General features: G+C 41.1%; 1 protein-coding gene and 1 long non-coding RNA gene across 3 annotated transcripts in view; one reads left to right on the forward strand and one right to left on the reverse strand.

The window, feature by feature from the left end:
* The window catches only part of SLC31A1 (solute carrier family 31 member 1), a 42949-nt gene that overhangs the window by 11463 nt on the left and 7689 nt on the right, over nucleotides 1–23797 (forward strand). The window contains exon 2 of the mRNA NM_001859.4: nucleotides 23108–23271. Within this exon, the coding sequence (NP_001850.1) occupies nucleotides 23143–23271 (129 nt within the window). The 5' untranslated portion in view covers nucleotides 23108–23142. The remainder of the gene's footprint in view (nucleotides 1–23107; nucleotides 23272–23797) is intronic.
* LOC107987119 (uncharacterized) lies at nucleotides 1772–23597 on the reverse strand. 2 transcript variants are annotated; one of them, XR_007061737.1, is made up of 3 exons: nucleotides 23449–23597; nucleotides 10178–10299; nucleotides 1772–8746 (listed from the first exon to the last, which is right to left on the reverse strand). It is a non-coding gene; the product is annotated as an uncharacterized LOC107987119 (long non-coding RNA). The 2 variants fall into 2 exon arrangements; XR_007061736.1 differs by lacking the exon at nucleotides 23449–23597 and having other exon boundaries at nucleotides 10178–10573.

Consider the following 23797-nt stretch of genomic DNA (forward strand, 5'->3'; position numbering starts at 1 on the left):
GTGCTTAAGTAAGTGTTTAAGTGTATACTGTCAAGAGGTAGTTGCTATAAACATCCTTAGTTTAGAGGAAACTAACTTACCCTCTTAACCACTGTGCTGTGGCCTCAGTGAACTCCTGCTAATAATTCTTTAAAACAATCCTATGAAATAGGTTAGTTTTATTTTCCCAATTTTAGAGCTGAGGCAAGAAGATATTAAGTAATTTGCCAAAGGGCCCACAACCAGTAGGTACAGTTTTACCGGTTAGAGAATGAGTAGATCTCCTTGTGTATTTGAATAGCTGCCATAATAAAGAAAGGGGAAATATCTTTTCTACCCACAGCTTCCTCCTTGTGTTTTTTTGTTTTTGGTGGGCTATTCAGGATCTCAGATCGAATCCCAATCTCAGAAAGACAGTTGACAAACCCTGGAGAGGTCAGCTGGGAACAAATGTAAAAGTCTCAGCAAAACGGTGTACTTCCTGTTTGAGGTCTGTCTTTCTGGTAGTTCAATCCCTGTATTTCACAACTAGTCTACAAAAATAAAACTACAAAAATATTTAATTTCCCCTCCCTCTGGGATTTAGAGATTTTACTTACACAGTGCGTTAGAAAACCTCTCTCAAATCCCAAAGACGAGTGATTTGGTATTAAATTCAGTGTTAACCCCCAAGTTCTTTGATTATTAGGTGGTGGTCTGTGCAAATTTTATGTGAGACTGGGCTAACTCTGTGACCTTTTTGGAATTTCAAAATAAACAAATGCATTATTTTAGTTCCTGGTTGAATCTTGGCTTTCTTTTCTTTATTACTGATACATAATAATTGCACATATTTATGGGCACAATAATTAATAATTGCACAATGTATAATGATCAAATCAGGGTATTTAGGATATCCATCACCTTCAGCATTTATCATTTCTTTGTATTGGGAACATTTCAAATCTTCTAATTATTTTGAAATATACAGTGTATTGTTGTTGACTATAGTCACCCTTCTGTGCTGTCAAACACTAGAACTTACTCCTTCTATCTAAGCATCTATTTGTTCTGTTAACCCATCTGTCTTCAATCCCACCCTCACCCCACCTTGAGTACACACATATACACCCTTCCCAGCCTCTGGTGACTGTTCTACTCTCTACCTCCGTAGGATCAACTTTTTTGGCTCCCACTTATGACTGAGAACATGCAATATTTGTCTTTTTGTTTGACTTTTTTTTTTTATTTTTTGAGACTGAGTCTTGCTCTGTCACCCAGGCTGGAGTACAGTGGCGTGATCTTGGCTCACTGCAACCTCTGCCTCCCGGGTTCCTGAGTAGCTGGGATTATAGGCACCTACCGCTACGTCCAGCTAATTTTTGTATTTTTAGTAGAGATGGGGTTTCACCATGTTGGCCAGGCTGGTCTCAAACTCCTGACCTCAAGTGATCCACCCACCTCAGCCTCCCAAAGTGCTGGGATTACAGGCATGAACCACCGCTCCTGGCCATCATTTTTTTTTTTTTTTTTTTTTTTTTTTTAGCTCTCACTTGTTGAACATCCAGTTCTTAGATTCTGTGTACTAAGTATCTATGTTGTACATCTCTGTAATTCAGAACTGTGGTTCTCAAGCTTTAGCATGCATAAGAATTGTCCATGGAACTTGATAAGCACCTAAATTTTGAGGCCCTACTCCCTAAGAGGTGATTCAGTGGTGTGGCATAGGGTCCATAATTTTTATTTTTACCCAAACTTCCCTGATGATTCTGATCCAGGTGGTCCTTGGACCACACTTTGAGAAGCACTTGAGTTAGGAAAGTAATTAACATTTATTGTTTACTATATATGTTATTAACATGGCAGTCTCTTCAATATGTATTTTTACATTTGATATTCATACTGTTGTGAGATTTTTATCCCAGTTTTACGTGTACTTATTATCCTTACAAAGTTTTTGTAACTTGTTACGAGTTTTAAGGATGGCAGTGCCCCTTAGGATAACAAATAAAGCATGATAAATAGACTACATTAACAGTAAAAACTTCTGTTCGTTCATCTAAAGACACAATAAAAGAAATGAAAAGGGAAGCCACAGACTGGGAGAAGATATTTGCAATGTGTGTGATGATAGAAGACTCATCCAGAATATGTAAAGAACCTTTGCAAATCAGTAAGAAAAAGACCTCACAGAAAAATAAGCCACAAACTTGAACAAATAGTTAACAAAAGAAAGGATATCCAAAAGCCAATACATGTATGAAAAAGTTTCCACTTCAATAGTCATTAGGAAGATGCAAATTAAAGTTCAATTTATACCCACCAGAATGGCTAAAATTAAGTAGACTGACTCTAATAAGTGCTGAGAAGAATGTGACCAATCTTGGGGAGGGAAAGTATTTGCAAATGTTCACAGCAGTGTTATTAAAAACCCTGAAAACAGTTTAGATGCCAAGAGCAGAAATGAAAAGTTAAGTTGCATATTGATTCAAAGGAAACTATAGAGCAATGAAAAATAACAAACTGCTGCTACACACAATATGGATGAACCTCCCAAAAATTATGTTGAGCAAAGGACCCAGACACAATAGTACATTCTTTCTGCTTCCATTTATATAAATTTCAAAATCACAGAAGACTGTGTATGATTTTAGAAGTCAGGAGAGAAGATCCCCCCGGAGAGGAGGAGGAAGCATGACTGGGAGAGGCAGGAGGGGAGCTCCTGGAGTACTGGCAATAGTTACTGTTCTGGGTAACAATTAAATAAAATATACTTACTTTATGGGGGAAAAAAGACGGCAATGCCCTGCAACAGTGAGCAGCCTGACTCTGAGAACAGAGTGGGCTCTTGCCCTTGCTGTTTCTGCTTTGGCAAGGTGCCTCTCAGAGCAGATGATTGTTTAAGATTGGTTCTGGAAAGTAATATGAACAGTATGTTCTGGAATGTGTTTAATCAATGTTAAAGCCACTGAAATGTTAGAATGGCTAAAGTATATCAATCATTATTCAGAATGCGTTTCATTTTTTTGTTTTGTTTTGTTTTGAGACAGTCTTGCTGTGTCGCCCAGGCTAGCGTGCAGTGGCGCAATCTCGGCTCACTGCAACCTCTGCCTCCCAAGTTCAAGCAATTCTCGTGCCTCAGCTTCCTGAGTTGCTGGAATTACAGGTGCACGCCACCAAACCTGGCTAGTTTTTGTATTTTTAGTAGAGACAGCGTTTTGCCATGTTGGCCAGGCTGGTCTCAGACTCCTGGCCTCAAGTGATCTGCCCGTCTTGGCCTCCCAAAGTGCTGGGATTACAGGTGTGAGCCACTGCGCCCAGCCCTATTATTCAGAGTGCATTTCGACAAGTCAAGTGTGCATTTGTTTCTCACTGAAACTATTCTTTTTTTGTTGTTTTTTGTTTGTTTGTTTTTTTGAGATGGAGTCTCACTCTGTCGCCCAGGTTGGAGTGCAGTGGTGCGATCTCGGCTCACTGCAAGCTCCACCTCCCGGGTTCACGCCATTCTCCTGCCTCAACCTCCCGAGTAGCTGGGACTACAGGTGCCTGCCACCACGCCCGGCTAATTTTTGTATTTTTAGTAGAGACAGGGTTTCACCGTGTTAGCCAGGATGGTTTCAATCTCCTGACCTCGTGATCCGCCCACCTTGGCCTCCCAAAGTGCTGGGATTACAGGCATGAGCCACCACACCCGGCCCTCACTGAAACTATTCTTATATGTACCTAAACTTTTCAGACCGAAATAGGCTCTAAAGATGAATTAGTCTGTTCCTTGACTCAGGAAGCTATGACCAGAAAGGCTAAATTACCTAATGTAATAGAAAACCAGGGCTAGAACAAAAATTTCTAGTCTTACATTTTTCAAATTGTAATCATTATAAAGATTAAGGTGGGCTTCAGCCCACCAATTCCCCTTGCCTGGGAATTATCCAGAACACTGTTGAGTCAGTGTTTGAGAGTGACAGCACTGTGACAACATTCAGCATATGAAAGTTCACACAAAGCCATGATAATCAGAGATGATCTGATATTTTAAAGGAGTAGAATAAATGGTGACATTTTTATGAATTATTCTCAAAATTTCTGTTTCTGACCCTGAAAATACAAATAGTAGAAAGGCATTTGGGGCTTTTATGCATTATTCACAGAATGCCAAAATGTAGCCTAGAGCTTGGGGCTGTATGGAAGTCCATTTTCACCCCACTTAGAGCCACTTAGAGGTAGAGCAGCCAAGAGTACTGCAGATAACAGTTGTAGCGCATACTGTATGCCAGAAGCATGGCATAAAGCATTGCAGGACACAACTGCTCTGGAGGGGGGTAACGATTAGATTTAGCTCCTCCTGGACAACTTAATGGGCAAGGATTTCATAGACTTGTCAGAGCACTAGGATAGCTTGACATTGGTTTACCCGGAATGTAGAGAATATCCAATTGTGCCTCAACAGGAATAGGTCTACGTTTTTTTTTTCCAAGCCTCTCTCAAAACTACAGCTGTTTCCTTGCCTCCGTTTTTCTGAGTTGCCCTTAGAACGCAAAAAAAGCTTACTTGATGTTGAGAGACTAGGAACATAAAGACAGGAGATAGTTGGATAGAAGGACCATGCTACGAATAATGAAAAGAACACTGGGCTTGAGGTCAGAATCAGGCTTCTAATGATGACCACTAGACTAACTGCCCTGTGACCTTGGCTAGCCTTTTAACCTTTATACCTCAGTTTTCCATCTGAAAAATGAATAACTATTCTTGTTTAATCTAGGCCTATTCTTTTAAGTGGAGTTAAGTTTGGAAACATACTACAATGTTGTGGCTCAGCAATTCTCAGAAAAAGCGTGCATGAAAGCAAAAGTAAATGAACTTACTGTTGGACCCAGACTTAGAATCAATCAATCAACAAGTATTTATTGAATAGCCACCTAAAGGGTATATTAGACTGCATATAGCCTTTACCTAAGCCTTATAGTGAATTCTGTAAACAAGATATGAATGCATTAACCTCATTGCTGAGCTCTCACAGAGCATAATGATAATATTACCACAGAGTAATAATAAGGCTTTTACATATATGGTCTTTTCTCCCCTCTTTTTCCCCATTCATTATCTTATTTGAATCATATAGTAACCCTGAAGGAGGACAAAATAGATGTTATCTCCATGTTTCCATGAGTTTCAGATGAGACATTGAAATTCAGAGTATGAAAATGCTTCTCAAGGGGGTAGGACAAATTGAGAAATGTCTGGAGACATTTTTGGTTGTCACAACTGGGGCAATGCTACTGGCATTGAGTCGGTAGAGGTCAGGGATACTGTTAAACATCCAGTGATACACAAGACAGCTCAGACAACAAAGAATTATCCAGTCCAAAATGTTGTTAATACTGAGGTTGAAACCCTGAGATAGGTGTTTCCCCAAAAGAACTCAAAGTGATAGAGTCGGAACCAGAATCCACATCTTTGACTCACTCTAGTGTGTTTTCACTATGTCTAAAGCAGGGCATTAAAATCTGGATTTTAAGGCTGGGTGCGGTGGTTCACACCTTAAATCCCAGCACTTTGAGGGGCCGAGGCAGGTGGATCACCTGAGGTCAGGAGCTCAAGACCAGCCTGGCCAACATGATGAAACCCTGTTTCTACTAAAAATACAAAAAGTAGCCGGGTATGGTGGCACACGCCTGTAATCCCGCCTACTTGGAAGGCTGAGGCACAGGAATTGCTTGAACCTGGGAGGCAGAGGTTGCAGAGATCGTGACACTGCACTCAAGCCTGGGCGACAGACTGTGACTCTGCCTCAGAATCCTTTTTAAATTAAAAAATAAGTAAATAAAATCTGGAGTTCACAAGTCTTAGATTAATCACTAATGTTTTGATGAGGTATGAGTGACAAGTCGAGTTTGTTTAGATCACTGTTGAAGGTGTATAGTATAGATTATGTAGTCTATTAAACACTTGCTGTGTGTCTCACAGTCTGCTGCCCATGTCCCTCCCAGAGGCTAGTTCACCTTCATCGTATTTATTGATTTTTTATTGAGCAAGTACCAAATTTGAATCATTTGACCAAAATGCTGTTGAAATCTGGACACGATCCCTGTAGCAATCTCTATGCGTAGGACCTGTTGCCAAACTAAAAACCCATGGGACTTTTACAGGAAATGTCACCAGGAGACTCAGCTAGAAATTAGTAGAGCCGGGATTTGAATACCTTCTGACTCCAGACTTTTTTTTTTTTAACTCCTACCCCTAGACCTAGACTCTTAACAATAGTCTGTAAGATCAAATGTCACCTGCAAAGGGTGGCATGTGACTTTTAGAAGCTCTTAAAATCCAGGAATAAATTCTTCTTACTAATTCTTGTAGAATAGTCTTAAGTTGTGCCCCTCAAACCATTTTATGCCCAGAAATTAGATGATTCTTCTCATCTTCCTAAAGTTTTAACAGATGCCATTCTGGATCCTGGAAAATTAAACAGCTGTAGCCATAAGGATTTAATCTATAAAGATTTTTTTCCTTCTGTAAATCTGCCTCAAAGAAGAACTTAAGCAGGAAACATGAGTGCCTGCATATTACCTTTAAATAGCTTCCAATTGCCCTGGAAATAAAATTTAGAATCCTTAAAATGACCTTTAAGATTTTTTTTTTGAGACACAGTCTCGCTCTGTCACCCAGGCTGCGGTGCAGTGGTGTGATCTTGGCCTCACTGCAACCTCTGCCTCCTGGGTTCAAGTGATTCTTCTGCCTCAGCCTCCCGAGTAGCTGGGAGTACAGGCATGCGCCACCACGCCCAGCTAACTTTTGTATTTTTAGTAGAGATGGGGTTTCACCCCGTTGGCCAGTCTGGTCTTGAACTCCTGACCTCAAGTGATTCACCCTTCTTGGCCTCCCAAAGTGTTGGGATTACAGGCGTGAGCCACCATGCCTAGACATTCTTAATTGAGTATCCTTTATGCTTCCCTCTTCAACCTCATTAGCCTCTCCTCCGCTCACTCAGTATGTTCTGTTCATACTAACCTTGATCCCTTATTTCTTCTCTCGACTCAGGAAGGCTCTTACCTTTCCTTCTACTAAACTCCAATAATTAATTTATCAGTCTGTTTAAAGTCAGCTCCTTTAAGAAAGCTCCTCTCTTTCGCTTCCCACCTGTCCTCCATCTAAATTAGTTCTTTCACCGTTATTCTCTGCCACAGTTCATTTTTGTACCTCCTTCATACCACTTACACAAATGATAATTATACCTACCTATATATATTTATTTGCTTACATTTTTACTGAGAGAGCCTTCTTCCTCTTGAGTAGCCCCACAAAGGCAAGTACCTTGTCTTTTTGCATCAGACTCCTTATAGGTAGATATTGAAACCTACATGGATTTTGTAAGAATTAATAAATACTTTTTGAATGAATGAATATTTGGTAAGTATTCTTCCAGATGCTGTAAGGAAGTAAAAATTAGAAAGTTTCTTGCGCTCAAGAAGCTTGCTGTGTATATATGGCATTTTTTATCTTGTATTTTAAAAACTATAAGTCAATTTCTGTAAGAGAAGATTGCTAGGGAAATTCAAAAAAGGGAGATTTCTTAGGAATTCAAGAAAAACCTCCTGGAATGAGTTAGATTATAAATCAAAAAGATCAAGGTCCATGTTTTAGCTTTATCCTTAATTCTGGCACATTTTTGTGCATGATAAATGTTGAATAAATAATGGCAGGATTTGTACATATATAGAAAATGAGGGGAAAAAATAAAAGGAATTCCAGGGAATTACAAAAGCCTGAAAACGCATACAAATGTCAAAATGCTGAATTTTATTGAGGGGCCAGGCACGGTGGCTCACACCTGTAATCCTAGCACTTTGGGAGGCCGAGGCAGGCAAATCACTTGAGGTCAGGAGTTTGAGACCAGCCTGGCCAACATGGTGAAACCCCATCTCTACTAAAAATACAAAAATTAGCTGGGTGTGGTGGCGCTTGGCTGTAATCCCAGCTACTCTGGAGGCTGAGGCAGGAGAATCGCTTGAACCCAGGAGGTGGAAGTTGCAGTGAGCCGAGATCGTGCCACTGTACTCCAGTCAGGGCGACAGAGCGAGACTCTGTCTCAAAAAAAAAAAAAAAAAAAATTATTGAGGAAAAGTGAGTAGGTCAGTTTCAGTGGAACATATGAATGTGAAGCGGAGTAGATTGAGATAAGGCTGGAAAGATAAGTCTGTAACAGACTTAAATGCCACATAGTGAGCTTAAAAATCAGTGTATCAATATCAGAAGTTGGGGGTGAAGATACTTAGGTTTCTTTTTGCAGGCAGAAATTAGTTTTTCGGAGTGCAGCCTAAGAAGCAAATTATAGCTTGAGAAATACATGCAAGTAGTATCTGCAGTACAAATACTGGTTTAGCTTGGAGTACCGGTTCATCAGCATCATCACTGTCAAATAGCAAGATTCAGATTCCAATGGGGCATCTTCTGTATTTGGCTTGACTAGAAAGAGAACTTTGCTTCCTTATATTTCTGGAAGGGAGCAACACACTTGCCTGACAAGTCCCCAGAGGTATTTGAACAGTTATTATAGAATTTGTGTATTACTGAGGAGCACCATGCAATGACTGCTAAGGTCCTTCCAATTCTTAGTGGGATTCTGTGACCCGCAAATTAAGAGACAGAACACTCAGGTTTCAATTTCAGGTGATCTACATATAGCTGAAGAAATGGCTCATCCATCTCTTTGCAGACCGAATTGTTTGGAGCCAGACTTCTCTCCTTGGCTGACTCAAGAAAGAGTAGCATCCAAGAGGGGCTCATTAAGCATCTGCAGTTGATAAAGATGAGAAGGAATTTTAGAATACTTTGATTCAACTGTTTCTCCTACCATTTCTCAATACCATTCTATCAGTGTGATATATGGGCACTGATTCAAAATATCATAAAAACATTTTCGAGTATTTTGTGAGACCTAGTTCCAGTTAGAATTATTAGGAAAGGCACAATATACTATGGCTCTTCAGAGCTCTTAAAACTAGAGGATCACGAGGTCAGGAGATCGAGACCATCCTGGCTAACATGGTGAAACCCCATCTCTACTAAAAATACAAACAATTAGCCAGGCATGGTAGCGGGCGCCTGTAGTCCCAGCTACTTGGGAGGCTGAGGCAGGAGAATGGTGTGAACCCGGGAGGCGGAGCTTGCGGTGAGCTGAGATCACGCCACCGCACTCCAGTCTGGGTGACACAGCGAGACTCCGTCTCAAAAAAAAAAAACTAGACGTTGGAGTATGGCATGGATTTGTTGCACTAGAGATTGTAAGGATGGGCATTTCAGACTTAAGAAACAATGTAGGCAAAGATACCAGACAGAAAAGTGGGGGATGTGTTTCCTAGGAGTGCTAGAAACTTTTGGCCATTGGACTTGTTTGGCTGGAATACAAAGTACATACAGGCAGAAGAGGTAGGTTGGGTTCTTTTTGTTTTGTTTTGTTTTGAGACAGAGTCTTACTCTTGCCCAGGCTGGAGTACAGTGGTATGATCATGGCACACTGCAGCTTTGACTTCCCAGGCTTAAAGCAATCCTCCCACTTCAGGGCCTCCCTCAGTAGCTGACACTACAAGTACATGACACCACACCCAGCTAATTTTTTGCTTTTTTGTAGAGATGGGGTCTCACTGTATTTCCCAGGCTGGTCTCAAACTCCTGGGCTCATGTAATCCTCCCACCTCAGCCTCCCAAAGCACTGGGATTACATTACAGGCATGAGCCACCATGCCCAGCCTAAAATCATTTTTAAGTTGATCTTATCTTATAGTTTGTTCCATTTCCCCGATGTCATTTTATGTGACACTTGTCAAGGCTTCATGCCTTAGAGACTTAATTCACATAAAAAGTTTTGGTTTAGCATTTCAGACCACTTAAAGGTCAATAGCAGCCAGTATAATCTCTTCCCTTCTTCTACTCTTAGAAACAGGTATGAGTTTTGTTTACAGTCTCTCTCATATTTTTCACAAAACACATATTTTCCAAAAGTATATGAAGGTAAATTTGGCGAGAAAATGTAAATGTTCAGATCTCCCAAGAGCTTTGTGTTTTATACGCTAGGCTTCTAAGCCTCCCAAGGGCTTTGTGTTTTTATACTCTAGGCTTTTTTTTTTTTGTTTAAGTTTTAGCTCTAGGTGGAACTTTATGGATTATGTAATTCAGTATTCTTACAGTTAAGGAAAATGAAGCTCTAAAATATAAAATAACTTACCCAATGTAGTATATGTCACCTGTGTCCTCTCTCACATTTAAACTAATTCTTTGCCTTTATATTTTGTTGTTTATGTAGTAATTACATGGTCCATTCATGTTTACTCAGAAGACATAGGTGACCTAGGGATTGGACAATGGGCATTTTAAAAATTGAGTTTGACTTTAGCATGTTTTCTCTTGCAAATAATAGCCTTCAATGGCTGTATAATTCATCACGTTATCACTTTTTCCAGGATTTGTCTTGCCTCAACAGGTTTCTCATCTCCTTTGCTGAGTTTGAACAGCTTGATAAGCTGGAGTGATGTAGAAAGATGAAACTTATGATAGAAGGGGATGACCTTCAACCGATATCTGGAGATAAAGTGTTTCTTTGTCTTATTCCTTCTTTTTAAGAGATGTGGGGCGGGGGTGGGTGTGGGTCTCACTATGTTGCCCAGGCTAGATTCAAACTCCCAGGCTCCAGTGATCCTCTGAGTAGTTGGGACTGCAGGCATGCACCACTGCCCCCAGCTTTTTCCTGTCTTGTTCTGATTAGAATTAAATCACAGGTTTTTTGTTTTTGTTTTTTATCTTTCCATAAGTACAGTTAAAGTAAGATTCTCAGGGCAGCTCCTGAGTTATCGTCCCTTTTTGCTAAAATAGATATTTTTAGCCAAGAGTTTATGAGTAAAGAAGCTATTCCTACTGGCCAAGCGCAGTGGCTCACGCCTGTAATCCCAGCACTTTGGGAGGCCAAGGCAGGCAGATCACCTGAGGTCAGGAGTTTGAGACCAGCCTGGCCAACATGGTGAAACCTCGTCTCTACTAAAAATACAAAAAATTAGCCAGGCGTGGTGGTGGGCACCTGTAATCCCAGCTACTCGAGAGGCTGAGGCAGGAGAATCGCTTGAACCCAGGAGGCGGAGCTTTCAGTGAGCCGAGATCATACCACTGTACTCCAGCCTGGGTGACAAGAGCAAAACTCCATCTCAAAAAAAAAAAAAAAAAAAAAAAAGGCTATTCCTACTACTTCATAGCTTCTGTTTTATTCTTTTAAAAACTTGTCAGTCCATGCAGCATTTCTTGTTTGCCTAGATCATTGGCCACTCATAAATGAAGGCACTTAAAAGTTTTAAGTGTAATTATTTGAAGTAGTTTTCTCCTTTATGTCTCTGACAGTTGGTTACTTTTTATGCAGCTTATTAGTCTGATGTATGAGTAATTCATCCACATAAATTCTGCTATTACTTGAGTATGGCATAGTTTGGCTTTTTTACATGAAAAGTGCTTCAGGGAAGGTATATGGTGAAGAAAGAGAAAATATCTCCATCTGTCAGGGTCAGAAAAAAACAAGAGTGAGAGAGAGAATAATATAAGGATTATTGAAATCTGCAGATAATCACTAAATTAATTCTTGGCCAATTCTATTAATATCCTTCTCAGCCCCAACATTGCTATGAAGAAAAGCAAGTAAGAATTTATTATAGATGATCCCTTGGAGTTATTATCAACAAAGGCAAAAGGCAAAACAGTAGCCAGGTTTTATTGGAGAAGTTTTAAAAAGATAAAATCTAAGATTTGTATGTGGGCGTGTGAGGTAATTATAATGGTGGGTTTGGGATAACTACTTTCCTGAGTGCAGACTATCCTTGTAAGACTACAGTTGTAGCAAGTGCCGTGTGGACTGCTGTCACTTGACAGACTTAATCTGGGGAGAACAATATGTGTTTGAATGTATATAATTGTAAGGTATTTTACATTTCTTTTTTTTCTTGTTGACCTGACCTATTTTCTTAGTACCTCCACTCATCGTTTTACTTACCATTTTTAATACATTGGTATGGCACAACTTTAGGAGTCTTTAAGTTTTTGCCAGTTCTGGCCGAGACCCATAGTTTAATCAAGGCTACCCTTTATAAGAGGAATTGATCAAATTAAGTATACCTACGATCACTGTACCTCAAGAAAGACATAGGCAAGGGAAAGGCAGCTAGAATATCAAAAGGATTATATGGTTATATTCATCCAATTATGGTCACATTTCTGTTGGTTAATTTGGGTTTTGTTTTGTTTGTTGTTGTTGTTTTGTTTTTTGTTTTTCTTAGTAGAGACAAGGTTTCACCATGTTGGCCAGGCAGTTCTCAAACTCCTGACCTCAAGTGATCTACCCACCTCAGCCTCCCAAAGTGCTGGGATTACAGCACTTTGTAATGTAAAATGGGATTGCATTTTATACACTTTATAATGTAATGGGATTACAGCTCACTTTGTGAGCCATCGCACCCGGCCTCTGTCAGTTAATTTGGAATAGGAATATGAAGCCAGCACCCGGGGAATGAGTAGGAAACATTACAGCCTTCAAAGGGAAGTCTTCTCCCTAAATATTTATCAAATTGTATTTCCCCTCCCACTTACTGGGAGCTACTACGTTTTTTCCAAGCAACTGCACTATTTTGGCCTAGAATGCCACTAAGTTTTTTTTTTTTTAAGACAAGACATTCCTGTTGCCCAGGCTGGAGTGCATGGCACAATCATGGCTCACTGCAGCCATGACCTCCCAAGATCAGGTCGATTCTCCCACCTGAGCCTCTCAAGTAGTTGAGACTACGGGCACACATCACCACACCTGGCTAACTTTTTTGTATTTTTAGTAGAGATGGGGTTTCCTCATGTTGCCCAGGCGGGTCTGAAACTCCTGGGCTTAAGCGATCTGCCTGCCTCGGCCTCCCAAAGGGTTAGGATTACAGGTGTGAGCCACTGTACCCAGCTCTAAGTTCTGTTTATTGCAGTATTATATCAAGGTCTCCCCTTTGTTTTCCTACATCTCCTTTGCCACCACTCCTCCCCAAAAGGTGTGTGGGATTTATTGAGCCATCATCAAGATAATTGTTGTTTTTATTTTTTGAGACAGGGCCTCACCCTGTCACCCACGCTGGAGTGCAGTGGTGCAATCACCACTCACTGCAGCCATGACTTCCCAGGCACAAGCGATCCTCCCACACCCTCTCAAGCTGGGACCACAGGTGCACACCAGCATGCCCAGCAAATTTTTATATTTTTAGTACAGACGAGGTTTCACCATGTTGCCCAGCCTGGTATCAAACTCCTGGGTTCAAGCGATCTGCCTGCCTCAGCTTCCCAAAGTGCTGGGATTACATGTGTGAGCCACCATGCCCGGCCATTAAGATTTTTTTTTTCTTTTTTTGAGATGGAGTCTCGCTCTGTCACCCAGGCTGGAGTGCAGTGGCACAATCTCAGCTCACTGCAACCTCCGCCTCCCGGATTCAAGCGATTTTCCTGCCTCAGCCTCCTGAGTAGCTGGGACTATAGGCGCGTGCCACCACGCCCGGCTAATTTTTTGTATTTTTAGTAGAGACAAGGTTTCACCATGCTAGCCAGGATGGTCTTGATCTTCTGACCTCGTGATCTGCCTGCCTTGGCCTCCCAAAGTGCTGGGATTATAGGCGTGAGCCACTGCACGCGGCCGATAATTTTTATTTTTATTTTATTTTATTTATTGAGAAAGAATCTTGCTCTATATCCCAGGCTGGAGTGCAGTGGCACTATCTCAGCTCACTGCAACCTCCACATTATCGTGCCTCAGCCTCCCAAGTAGCTGGAACTACAGACACACCACCACATCCAGCTAATTTTTAGTAGAGATGGGGTTTTGCCATGTTGGCCAGGCTGGTCTCAAACTCCTAGCCTCAAGTGATTCACCTGCCTCGGCCTCCCTAAGTGCTGAGATTACAGGCGTGAGCCACCGCACCCGACCAAGATAATTTTAAAATTCACCTATAGGGGCAATCAAAACAAAGCCAGAGCCATTTCTGAGAGTATCTACTAACCCCATACAGGTCGTCAAAAGGCAAGATTCGCCCAGTTAAACTGGTTGCTTGATCATGTGGACATAGTCCATAAGCACGCATCCCTGTTTATGGTAGTGTACTGTCTTTGACCTTGAATTTTCTGTATAAGTGCTTGCCAGAAACTTACAGTTACCAATTATAAGTAATGACTACAGAAAGCAGAAGAGAAACTAGATAGATTTCTCTTTGTTTAATGTTTTCACAAATCTAAAAAGGAATATGACCCTAATCGTTTTAAGAAAAAAGACTTTCTTCCTTATCATGGAAGCCAGGAAAGACAGGCAGGCTCCAAAAGAACTGTCCCGGGCTCCAGATTATATCTGTCTGAGCTAGAGAAAAGAGCCCATGTGCAGATGTATGACTACTTCTGTGTAGTCTTTTTGTGCAATCTAATCTCCATAGTCCCTATGGATTATTATATCTTATTCTTATTGTACCATAGAAATAAGGCCAATACTCAATGCTAAGACTCAGAATAGGCATCAGAATTTAGCCGTCTTGCTAATTCCCTAACTTCTGACCATAAATTCATATGTATTTTTGTTAAACATATTAGATTTTACAGACTGTGTCTGTCTTGCAGGTGATGGGGCAGGTACAGGGAAAACTTTTTTGATAATCTTCAGAGGTTGACTGTGAAACACTCTTGACTATAAGGAGGTTTTGAAAGCTGTTTGGAAAAATATCATACCATACTTATTAAATGGGGGAGAGGGGAAAGCAACAGAAGTGCTGAGCTCTTCAACAGTCAATATAGCATTTACTGTTTCCTATATTTAATAGCATTCAGAACAATAGAAACAAGTTGGCACATAGCCAACTTCAGGTACCTAACTGAAGATAAATGTTCCCTAGAAACTGAATAGTTTAAAGCCTTCCTGAGAAAGAAACTCCTTTTATTAACTATTTTATGTGAACTAAATTCCACATAAACTCCTGCTTAATTTTTTAAAATAGTCAATTCCTAGACCATTTCTCATCTTCCTTAATGATCCAAGAAGATGGCCAGGCATGGTGGCTCACGCCTGTAATCCCAGCATTTTGGGAGGCTGAGGCAGGCAGATCACCTGAGGTCAGGAGTTCCAGAGCAGCCTGGCCAACATGGCGAAACCCCGTTTCTGCTAAAAATACAACAAAAAAATTAGCCAGGTGTGGTGGTGTGCACCTGTAGTCCCGGCTACTTGGGAGGCTTAGGCAGGAGAATCACTTGAACTCAGGAGGCGGAGGTTGCAATGAGCTGAGATTGTGCCACTGCACTCCAGCCTGGGTGACAGAGACTCTGTCTCAAAAAACAAACAAACAAACAAACAAAAATCCAAGATTTCTGTGCTAGAAGGAAGAGCTCTTATGAACTATTCACATGAGTGTTCATAGCCACTTCATGGTCTCAGGAAATCAGGACAGGCAGAAAGATACTTGAAAGCAGTCCTTTTTTTTTTTTTTTTTTTTTTTTGAAACAGAGTTTTGCTCTTGTTGCCCAGGCTGGAGTGCAATGGTGCAGTCTCAGCTCACTGCAACATGGCCTCCCAGGTTCAAGTGATTCTCTTGCCTCAGCCTCCCAAGTAGCTAGGATTACAGGTGCCCGCCACCACACCCGGCTAATTTTTGTAATTTTGTAATTTTTTAGTAGAGATGGGGTTTCACTATGTTGGCCAGGCTGGTCTCAAACTCCTGACCTCAAGTGATCCTCCCACCTTGGCCTCCCAAAGTGCTGGGATTATAGGCATGAGCCACTGTGCGCAGGCTTGAAAGTAGTCTTGACGCAAATACTTTGTAGGAGAGAAGCTAACAGACAAGTCAAGGGTTGTCTTAATAAAGTCAAGTGAGGAGAGAAACCCAGCTAATATTTTGATTAATGCCTTCTCCCACAAAGTTCACTCATTGGATTTTCCCTACTCAAGTTCTTTTATCCCCTAATATTCCACATAATGATAATAGCTGCCATTTATCAGGTACTTTGGTAGATGCTTTATGTATGTTATCTCATATAATCCTCCCAAGAATCCTCCAAGTTGTACAGGCTGGAAACCAGCTCCAGAAAGGCTAAGTAACTTTCCCAGGACATACAATCAGATCACCTTCTTTTTCTTTTAAAATTCACCTTCACCTTCCAAATTCTTTTTACAGATGTGTTCCAGTTAGGTAGTTAAGTCCTGTCACTCCGTTATTCTAATGCAAAGGTGATTCTCCAGTATTGCAAAGATGATTCTCCAGTATTGAACGATTTTGAATTCTGTTAAAGAAAACTAGTATACCTCAATTGGCAAAAAAAAAAAAAAAAAAGTAAATGAAAGGGCAGTACAGTAATTCTAATCTTTCTTTGTTTTTTTTTTATTTTTTTATTTTTTTTGAGATGGAGTTTTGCTCTCATTGCCCAGGCTGGAGTGCAATGGCAGGACCTTCCCTCACTGCAACCCCCACCTCCCGGGTTCAAGCAATTATCCTGCCTCAGCCTCCCAGGTAGTTGGGATTACAGGCACGCACCACCATGCCCAGCTAATTTTATATTTTTAGTAGAGATGATGTTTCACTATGTTGGTTAGGCTGGTCTCGAACTCTTGACCTCAGGTGATCCACCCACCTTGGCCTCCCAAAGTGCTGAGATTACAGGCGTGAGCCACCACACCCGGCCACAGTAATTCTAATCTTTCTACCCTAGTTATAAGCTCAACTTGGTAAATAAAATATTTTAGGTAGATTTTATCATAGATTAAAGGTTAGGAAAATTTTCGCAACCTACTCATCTGACAAAGGGCTAATATCCAGAATCTACAATGAACTCAAACAAATTTACAAGAAAAAAAACAGACAACCCCATCAAAAAGTGGGCAAAGGACATGAACAGACACTTCTCAAAAGAAGACATTTATGCAGCCAAAAAACACATGAAAAAATGCTCACCATCACTGGCCATCAGAGAAATGCAAATCAAAACCACAGTGAGATACCATTTCACACCAGTTAGAATGGCAATCATTAAAAAGTCAGGAAATAACAGGTGCTGGAGAGGATGTGGAGAAATAGGAACACTTTTACACTGTTGGTGGGACTGTAAACTAGTTCAACCATTGTGGAAGTCAGTGTGGCGATTCCTCAGGGATCTAGAACTAGAAATACCATTTGACCCAGCCATCCCATTACTGGGTATATACCCAAAGGACTATAAATCATGCTGCTATAAAGACACATGCACACATATGTTTATTGCGGCATTATTCACAATAGCAAAGACTTGGAACCAACCCAAATGTCCAAAAATGATAGACTGGATTAAGAAAATGTGGCACATATACACCATGGAATACTATGCAGCCATAAAAAATGATGAGTTCATGTCCTTTGTAGGGACATGGATGGAATTGGAAATCATCATTCTCAGTAAACTATCGCAAGAACAAAAAACCAAACACCGCATATTCTCACTTATAGGTGGGAATTGAACAATGAGAACACATGGACACAGGAAGGGGAACATCACACTCTGGGGACTGTTGTGGGGTTGGGGGAGGGGGGAGGGATAGCACTGGGAGATATACCTAATGCTAGATGACAAGTTAGTGGGTGCAGTGCACCAGCATGGCACATGTATACATATGTAACTAACCTGCACATTGTGCACATGTACCCTAAAACTTAAAGTATAAAAAAAAAAAACTTCAAAAAAAAAAAAGGAATCCTAAGGGTTTTTTTATTGTTTGTATTTCAGTTCTGTCCCTGAGTTATATATTCAGATTTTTTTGGTTAGTATTTGTAATGGTGGTGAGAACTGGTAGGCATTTGGGTCATTAGGGATCCACCCTCATGAGTAAATTAATGTCCACTCTCAGGAGTGAGTGAGTTATTGCTCTCATAGGAATGGATTCGTTCCTGCAAGATTGGGTTGCTATAAAGTGAGCCCGTGTCTCTTTGCACATGCCCACTTGCCTTTCTGCTTCTCTGCCAGAAGCCCCAAAGATGCTGGCACCATGCTCTTGGACTGTCCAGTCACCAGAATCATGAGGCAAATAAACCTCTTTTCTTTATAAATTACCCAGCCTGAGGTATTCTGTTATAGCCACACAAAACAGATTTAGACAGTATTCTTCTTTACAAATAATTTGTAAATTTGGCCTGGCATGGTGGTTCATGCCTGTTATGCCAGCACTTTGGGAGGCCAAGGTGGGCAGATCATTTGAGGTCAGGAGTTCAACACCAGCCTTGCCAACATGGTGAAACCTCATCTCCACTAAAAATAAAAAATTAGCTGGGCATGGTGGCACATGCCTGTAATCCCAGCTACTAGGGAGGCTGAGGCTGGAGAATCGCTTGAACCTGAGAGGTGGATGTTGCAGTGAGCCAAGATGGCACCACTGCACTCTAGCCTGGGTGACAGAGTGAGACTCTATCTAAAAAAATAAAAAATAAAAAATAAAAATAGAGCAAAGATTGTATGACCCTGGATTTTAACTTATTGTTACATGAGTACCCATTTTTATTTTGGAAGAAGCTGAGCTTAAGTCAGATTAAAGCTACCAAAGGAAACAGGCTAAAAAGAACCAATGCTAGTTTACCTCCTGTAAGTTGAATTTCTATTCTAGAGAGAATGGGTTAGGTGTGTTCGATTGCTTTAGAAGATAACTTATCCAAATACATACAGCACATCACTGAAAATTTAAGTGGGAAGAGAAAAAAATATAATCACTTTTATTTATTATGCTTTAATAATTAATTTGTAAGTTTTAACTTTTTTGATGTAATTTAGCTTTGGCATATTCCCGTGGGATCTTTTCCTAAAATAAAGCTTTTAGTGAGCGTAAGGACTTATCAGGATTGGTTTGTGTTTGAGCCTACAGTGTATGTTTATATATTAATCTCCACCGGCTTTGTATCTTCCTATTCATACACCATTCGGTAAGCCTTGCATAGGATTCCATTACAATATATCCATTGTCTACTGACAATGAGAGCAAGTAGATTCTGCTCTTGTTCTATCTCCTAGTATATTTGGATGTGAAATATATCCTGCACAAATGACACTTCAAAACAGGTGCATACTTTGAAAGGTTTTCTTGGGATTTGTATATACCTTGCCCTGGGTCACTGATATGTCTGAAGAGATTTGATAATGTGGCATCATTGAGTAGATTTCTCTAATTGATAATGAGGGACCTGAATAATTAAGAACCTGTGGGTCTTCAAAATTAGTTCATGGTAATAATTAATGTTATAAAGGTTCATCAAGGAAATCATCAAGGTTACAACTTTTAGATAGTTTGTGGTACTATAGTCCTGCTTTTTTTTGAGATGGAGTCTCGGTCTGTCACGCAGGCTGGAGTGCAATGGCACAATCTCGGCTCACTGCAACCTCCGCCTCCCGGGTTCAAGCGATTCTCCTGCCTCAGCCTCCCAAGTAGCTGGGACTACAGGTGCCTGCCACTAGGTCCGGGTACTTTTTGTATTTTCAGTAGAGACGGGGTTTTTAGTCAGGCTGGTCTTGAACTCCTGACCTCAGGTGATCTGCCCGCCTTGGCCTCCCAAAGTGCTGGGATTACAGGGTGAGCCACCGCACCCAGCCTAGTCTTGCTTTTTTAACAGTCCTCTACATGTTATCTTATATCTCAAAATGAAAATTATGACTGTTCAGTTTCCCTTTCTAGCTTTTAGCCTTAAAGCTCCTTGAGGAAAGACTCCATGTGATGTTCATTTCTTTATTTCCTTTGGTCTTAAGAAGGCACTCTTGCAAATATTCATTCCCTCCTCCTGACCAGGATTCATATTGATAATATGGAATGAAGTAAATCCTTTGTGGTTTTCTTATGCTATAATCATTTTTCAGACTCTCATTGGAAGAGAACAGTATTTGTGTCTTCTGCCTCTAGCTCTTTATGAGGATGTGTCAGTAGTCTTCCTGGCTAGCGAAAGTCTTTTCTTTTCTTTTTTTCTTTTTTTTTTTTTTTTTGAGACGGAGTCTTGCTCTGTAGCCCAAGCTGGAGTGCAGTGGCGCGGTCTCGCTTTACTGCAAGCTCCGCCTCCCGGGTTCACGCCATTCTCCTACCTCAGCCTCCAGAGTAGCTGGGACTACAGGCACCCGCCACCATGCCCGGCTAATTTTTTTGTGTTTTTAGTAGAGACGGGGTTTCACCCATGTTAGCCAGGATGGTCTTGATCTCCTAACCTCGTGATCCGCCTGCCTCGGCCTCCCAAAGTGCTCGGATTACAAGCGTGAGCCACCGCGCCTGGCCAAGTCTTTTCATTCTTATTGCATTTGTTTGGTTCAATATCATAATTTATGATCACTCAGATGCCAGTGATCTCTCCATCCTACCATAATTACCTCTTTATCTGAAAACAGCTGCCCACCTGCCATTTGCCCCATCACTGACACTTTGAGCATGGTCTTTATTTTATTGTGTATTGTATTTTTTAGTGTTTACTCTAAAAACATTGTAGACAAAGACTCTGTTTTATATCTTTTTATACCTCTGATGTAATCTCTTTATGGTAATGGTATCAATAATACCAGATTGTCGAGCTCTGTAATTTTTTTTTTTTTTTTTTTTGAAATGGAGTCTTGCTCTGCTGACCAGGCTGGAGTGCAGTGGCATGATCTCTGCTCACCACAACCTCCGCCTCCCAGGTTTGAGCAATTCTCTGCCTCAGCCTCCCGAGTAGCTGGGATTACAGGCGCGTGCCACCAAGCCCAGCTAATTTTTGTATTTTTAGTAAAGACGGGGTTTCACTGTTGAGCTCTATAATTATAAAATAATGTAGTGTCTGGCATGAAAGTGGATCTTTGATTATGCCTACCTGATGCTTTGCCTTATCCTTCACTAGAAATAAGAACCTATTTCTTAAGCCAGCTGTCATAGAACTATGGGGTAGGAGTTAACAAGGAGAAAATAAATAGATGGCTCCCTGAATCTATATAAATTTCCTACCCACAGTCTTTTTTTTTTTTTTTTTTTGAGATAGTCTCCTGTCACCTAGGCTGGAGTGCGGTAGTCCAACCTTGACTCACTGAAACCTCCACCTCCCAGGTTCAAGTGATTCTCATGCCTCAGCCACCCGAGTAACTGGGATTACAGGTGCATGCCACCACACCTGGCTAATTTTTTTGTTTTAGTAGAGATGGGGTTTCATCATGTTGGCCAGGCTGGTCTCGAACTCCTGGCCTCAAGTGATCTGCCTGCCTCAGCCTCCCAAAGTGCTGGGATAACAGGCATGAGCCACCGCGCCTGGCCAATTTATTCTTTACCTCTTGGTAATTGTGTCTTATTTCTCAGCTTATTTCCTTCACAGCATGAAATTATATTTATTGTTTCTCTCCCTATCAGGAACCTTGTCTTATTCATTGTTGAATTATTAGCACCTAGCTCAGAGTTTGGTATATAATAGGAGCTTGATAAATATTGAGTGAATGAATAATGAAAAGCATACTTGGTTTCATGAACATGAATACCTACTTGGAATTTTTAAAACCACTTTTTCTTCCACAGACTGGACTTGAGGGACACATAAAGAGAATCCACCAACACCTCCCCCTCCACACACACCAGCTTCCCATTCTCCCACTCCAACTCTAGCTATAGGAGTTATTGTTCCTGGGCCGGGCACGGTAGCTCAAGCCTATAATCCCAGTACTTTGGGAGGCCGAGTTGGACAGATCACTTGAGCTCAGGAGTTTGAGACCAGCATGGCCAACATGGTGAAACCCCATCTCTACTAAAAATTTAAAAATTAGCCAGGTGTGGTAGCATGCACCTGTAATCCCAGCTACTCGGCAAGCTGAGGCATGAGAGTCACTTGAATCCAGGAGGCAGAGGTTGCAGTGAGCCGAGATCACACCACTGCACTCCAGCCTGGGCAACCATGCAAAACTCTGTCTCAAAAATAAATAAATAAAAGGAATTATTGCTCCTTGGTTTATGTCCCAGATGGACTTTTGCAGCAATACAGTGATGTGGTAGTAAAGATACAAGGCTGAATTTGCAGTTGTCTAGACTTAATTTAATATAGAGTATCCAATTTATACCTTGTTTTTCATGTTCTTCACTCTAATGTCCTGGTAGGATTGAAATTGTATCTGAAGTCTGAGCACACTGCGTGCCTAGGGCCATAGTAGACCTTTCTTCAAATTTAAATTAGCTGAAGGCTGGTTGTCCTGTATGTGAAAATGTAATCCAAATATCCTGATTAGGCACAGGCCATCCCAATTAGGTGAATTATCTGAAGTCCTTGCTTTTTATCTGCTGACATTTATGATTAGAAAGCCTTAAAGCAGTTAAATTTCATTAATGGCATTCATTTGTATCTTATTACAGATTGCCTGTTTCCTGCAACCCAAAGAAGCTGCTTTCCTTCTCCTTATCTAATATTTAAGTTTGAACATATATTAAGCATACCTATTAAAGGAACTATACTGGTGGGGCACAGTGGCTTACACCTGTAATCCCAACACTTTGGGAGGCCAAGGCAAGAGGATTGCTTGAGCTCAGGAGTTCGAGACCTGCCTGGGCAACACGAGACCTCATCTGTACGATAAAACAAAAAATTAGCTGAGCGTGGTAGTGGTGCAGGCCTGTGATTCCACCTACTCAGGAGGCTGAGGTTGAGGCTGTGGTGAGTTGCACTCCAGCCTGGGTGATGGAGCAAGACCCTGTCTCAAAAAAAAAGGAACAATTCTGCAGAATAAGGAAGGGTTAGGCATCTGTAGCCCTACGTGTAAACCCTTTCTGCTACAGTCTCCAAAAGTGATCCCTATTAGCACGAGTTCTTTCTCTCTCCATCTGTAGATTATGAAAAATAATTCTGAGTAAAGATGCTAGGAGAGCATTCATTTATTAGATGCATTCCATATAGACAAAGTATTTACCAAGAAACAAGCCCAGGAGCAGGGAACCACCAGGTTGCCTGGTGAACCAGCCTAGATCAGAAATGGAGCAGGTCAAAACTCCTGTACTGATCAGTAGTGGGATCATGCCTGTGAATAGCCATTGCATTCCAGCCTGGGCAACATAGCAAGATTCCATCTCTAAAAATAAAAAAAAGAGATAAGATTTTTATATCCTTAAATTATTATATATAATTCTTTCTCTTAAAAGAATCTTCTGCTGACTCTCAACTTTTCCTGGAAAAAATGGATCATTCCCACCATATGGGGATGAGCTATATGGACTCCAACAGTACCATGCAACCTTCTCACCATCACCCAACCACTTCAGCCTCACACTCCCATGGTGGAGGAGACAGCAGCATGATGATGATGGTGAGTGCCATAGGAGGGGCAATGCAGGCCCTTTCCCACCCACTTGGGTAATAGAAATAATGGAATTTTAGTACTGGAAGCTTATTATCTTTAAAGGTCAGTTTACCAGTGAGGATAACTAAAGCAGACCCAAGCAAGTCAAGTCATTTGCTCCAGATTATGTGGCAAGCTACTTACAGAGTCACACCAGAACCAAGATTTTAGGCTTCTTTCTTTGGTGGTCCCTTCTGAAATCGACTCTTTTCTGAATTAGGGGTTCTGGTCTTTATGCCTTGGGTGGAAAAGAGAAAAAGACAAAAGTTGGCCAGGCACAGTGGCTCATGCCTGTAATCCCAACACTTTGGGAGGCCAAGGCAGGTGGATCACAAGGTCAGGAGATCGAGACCATCCTAGCTAACACGGTGAAACCCCATCTCTACTAAAAATACAAAAAATTAGCTGGGCATGATGGCATTCGCCTGTAGTCCCAGCTACTTGGGAGGCTGAGGCAGGAGAATCGCTTGAACCCAGGAGGTGGAGGTTGTAG

This window comes from Homo sapiens, chromosome 9 (genome assembly GCF_000001405.40).
Source record: "Homo sapiens chromosome 9, GRCh38.p14 Primary Assembly".
Taxonomy (NCBI): domain Eukaryota; kingdom Metazoa; phylum Chordata; class Mammalia; order Primates; family Hominidae; genus Homo; species Homo sapiens.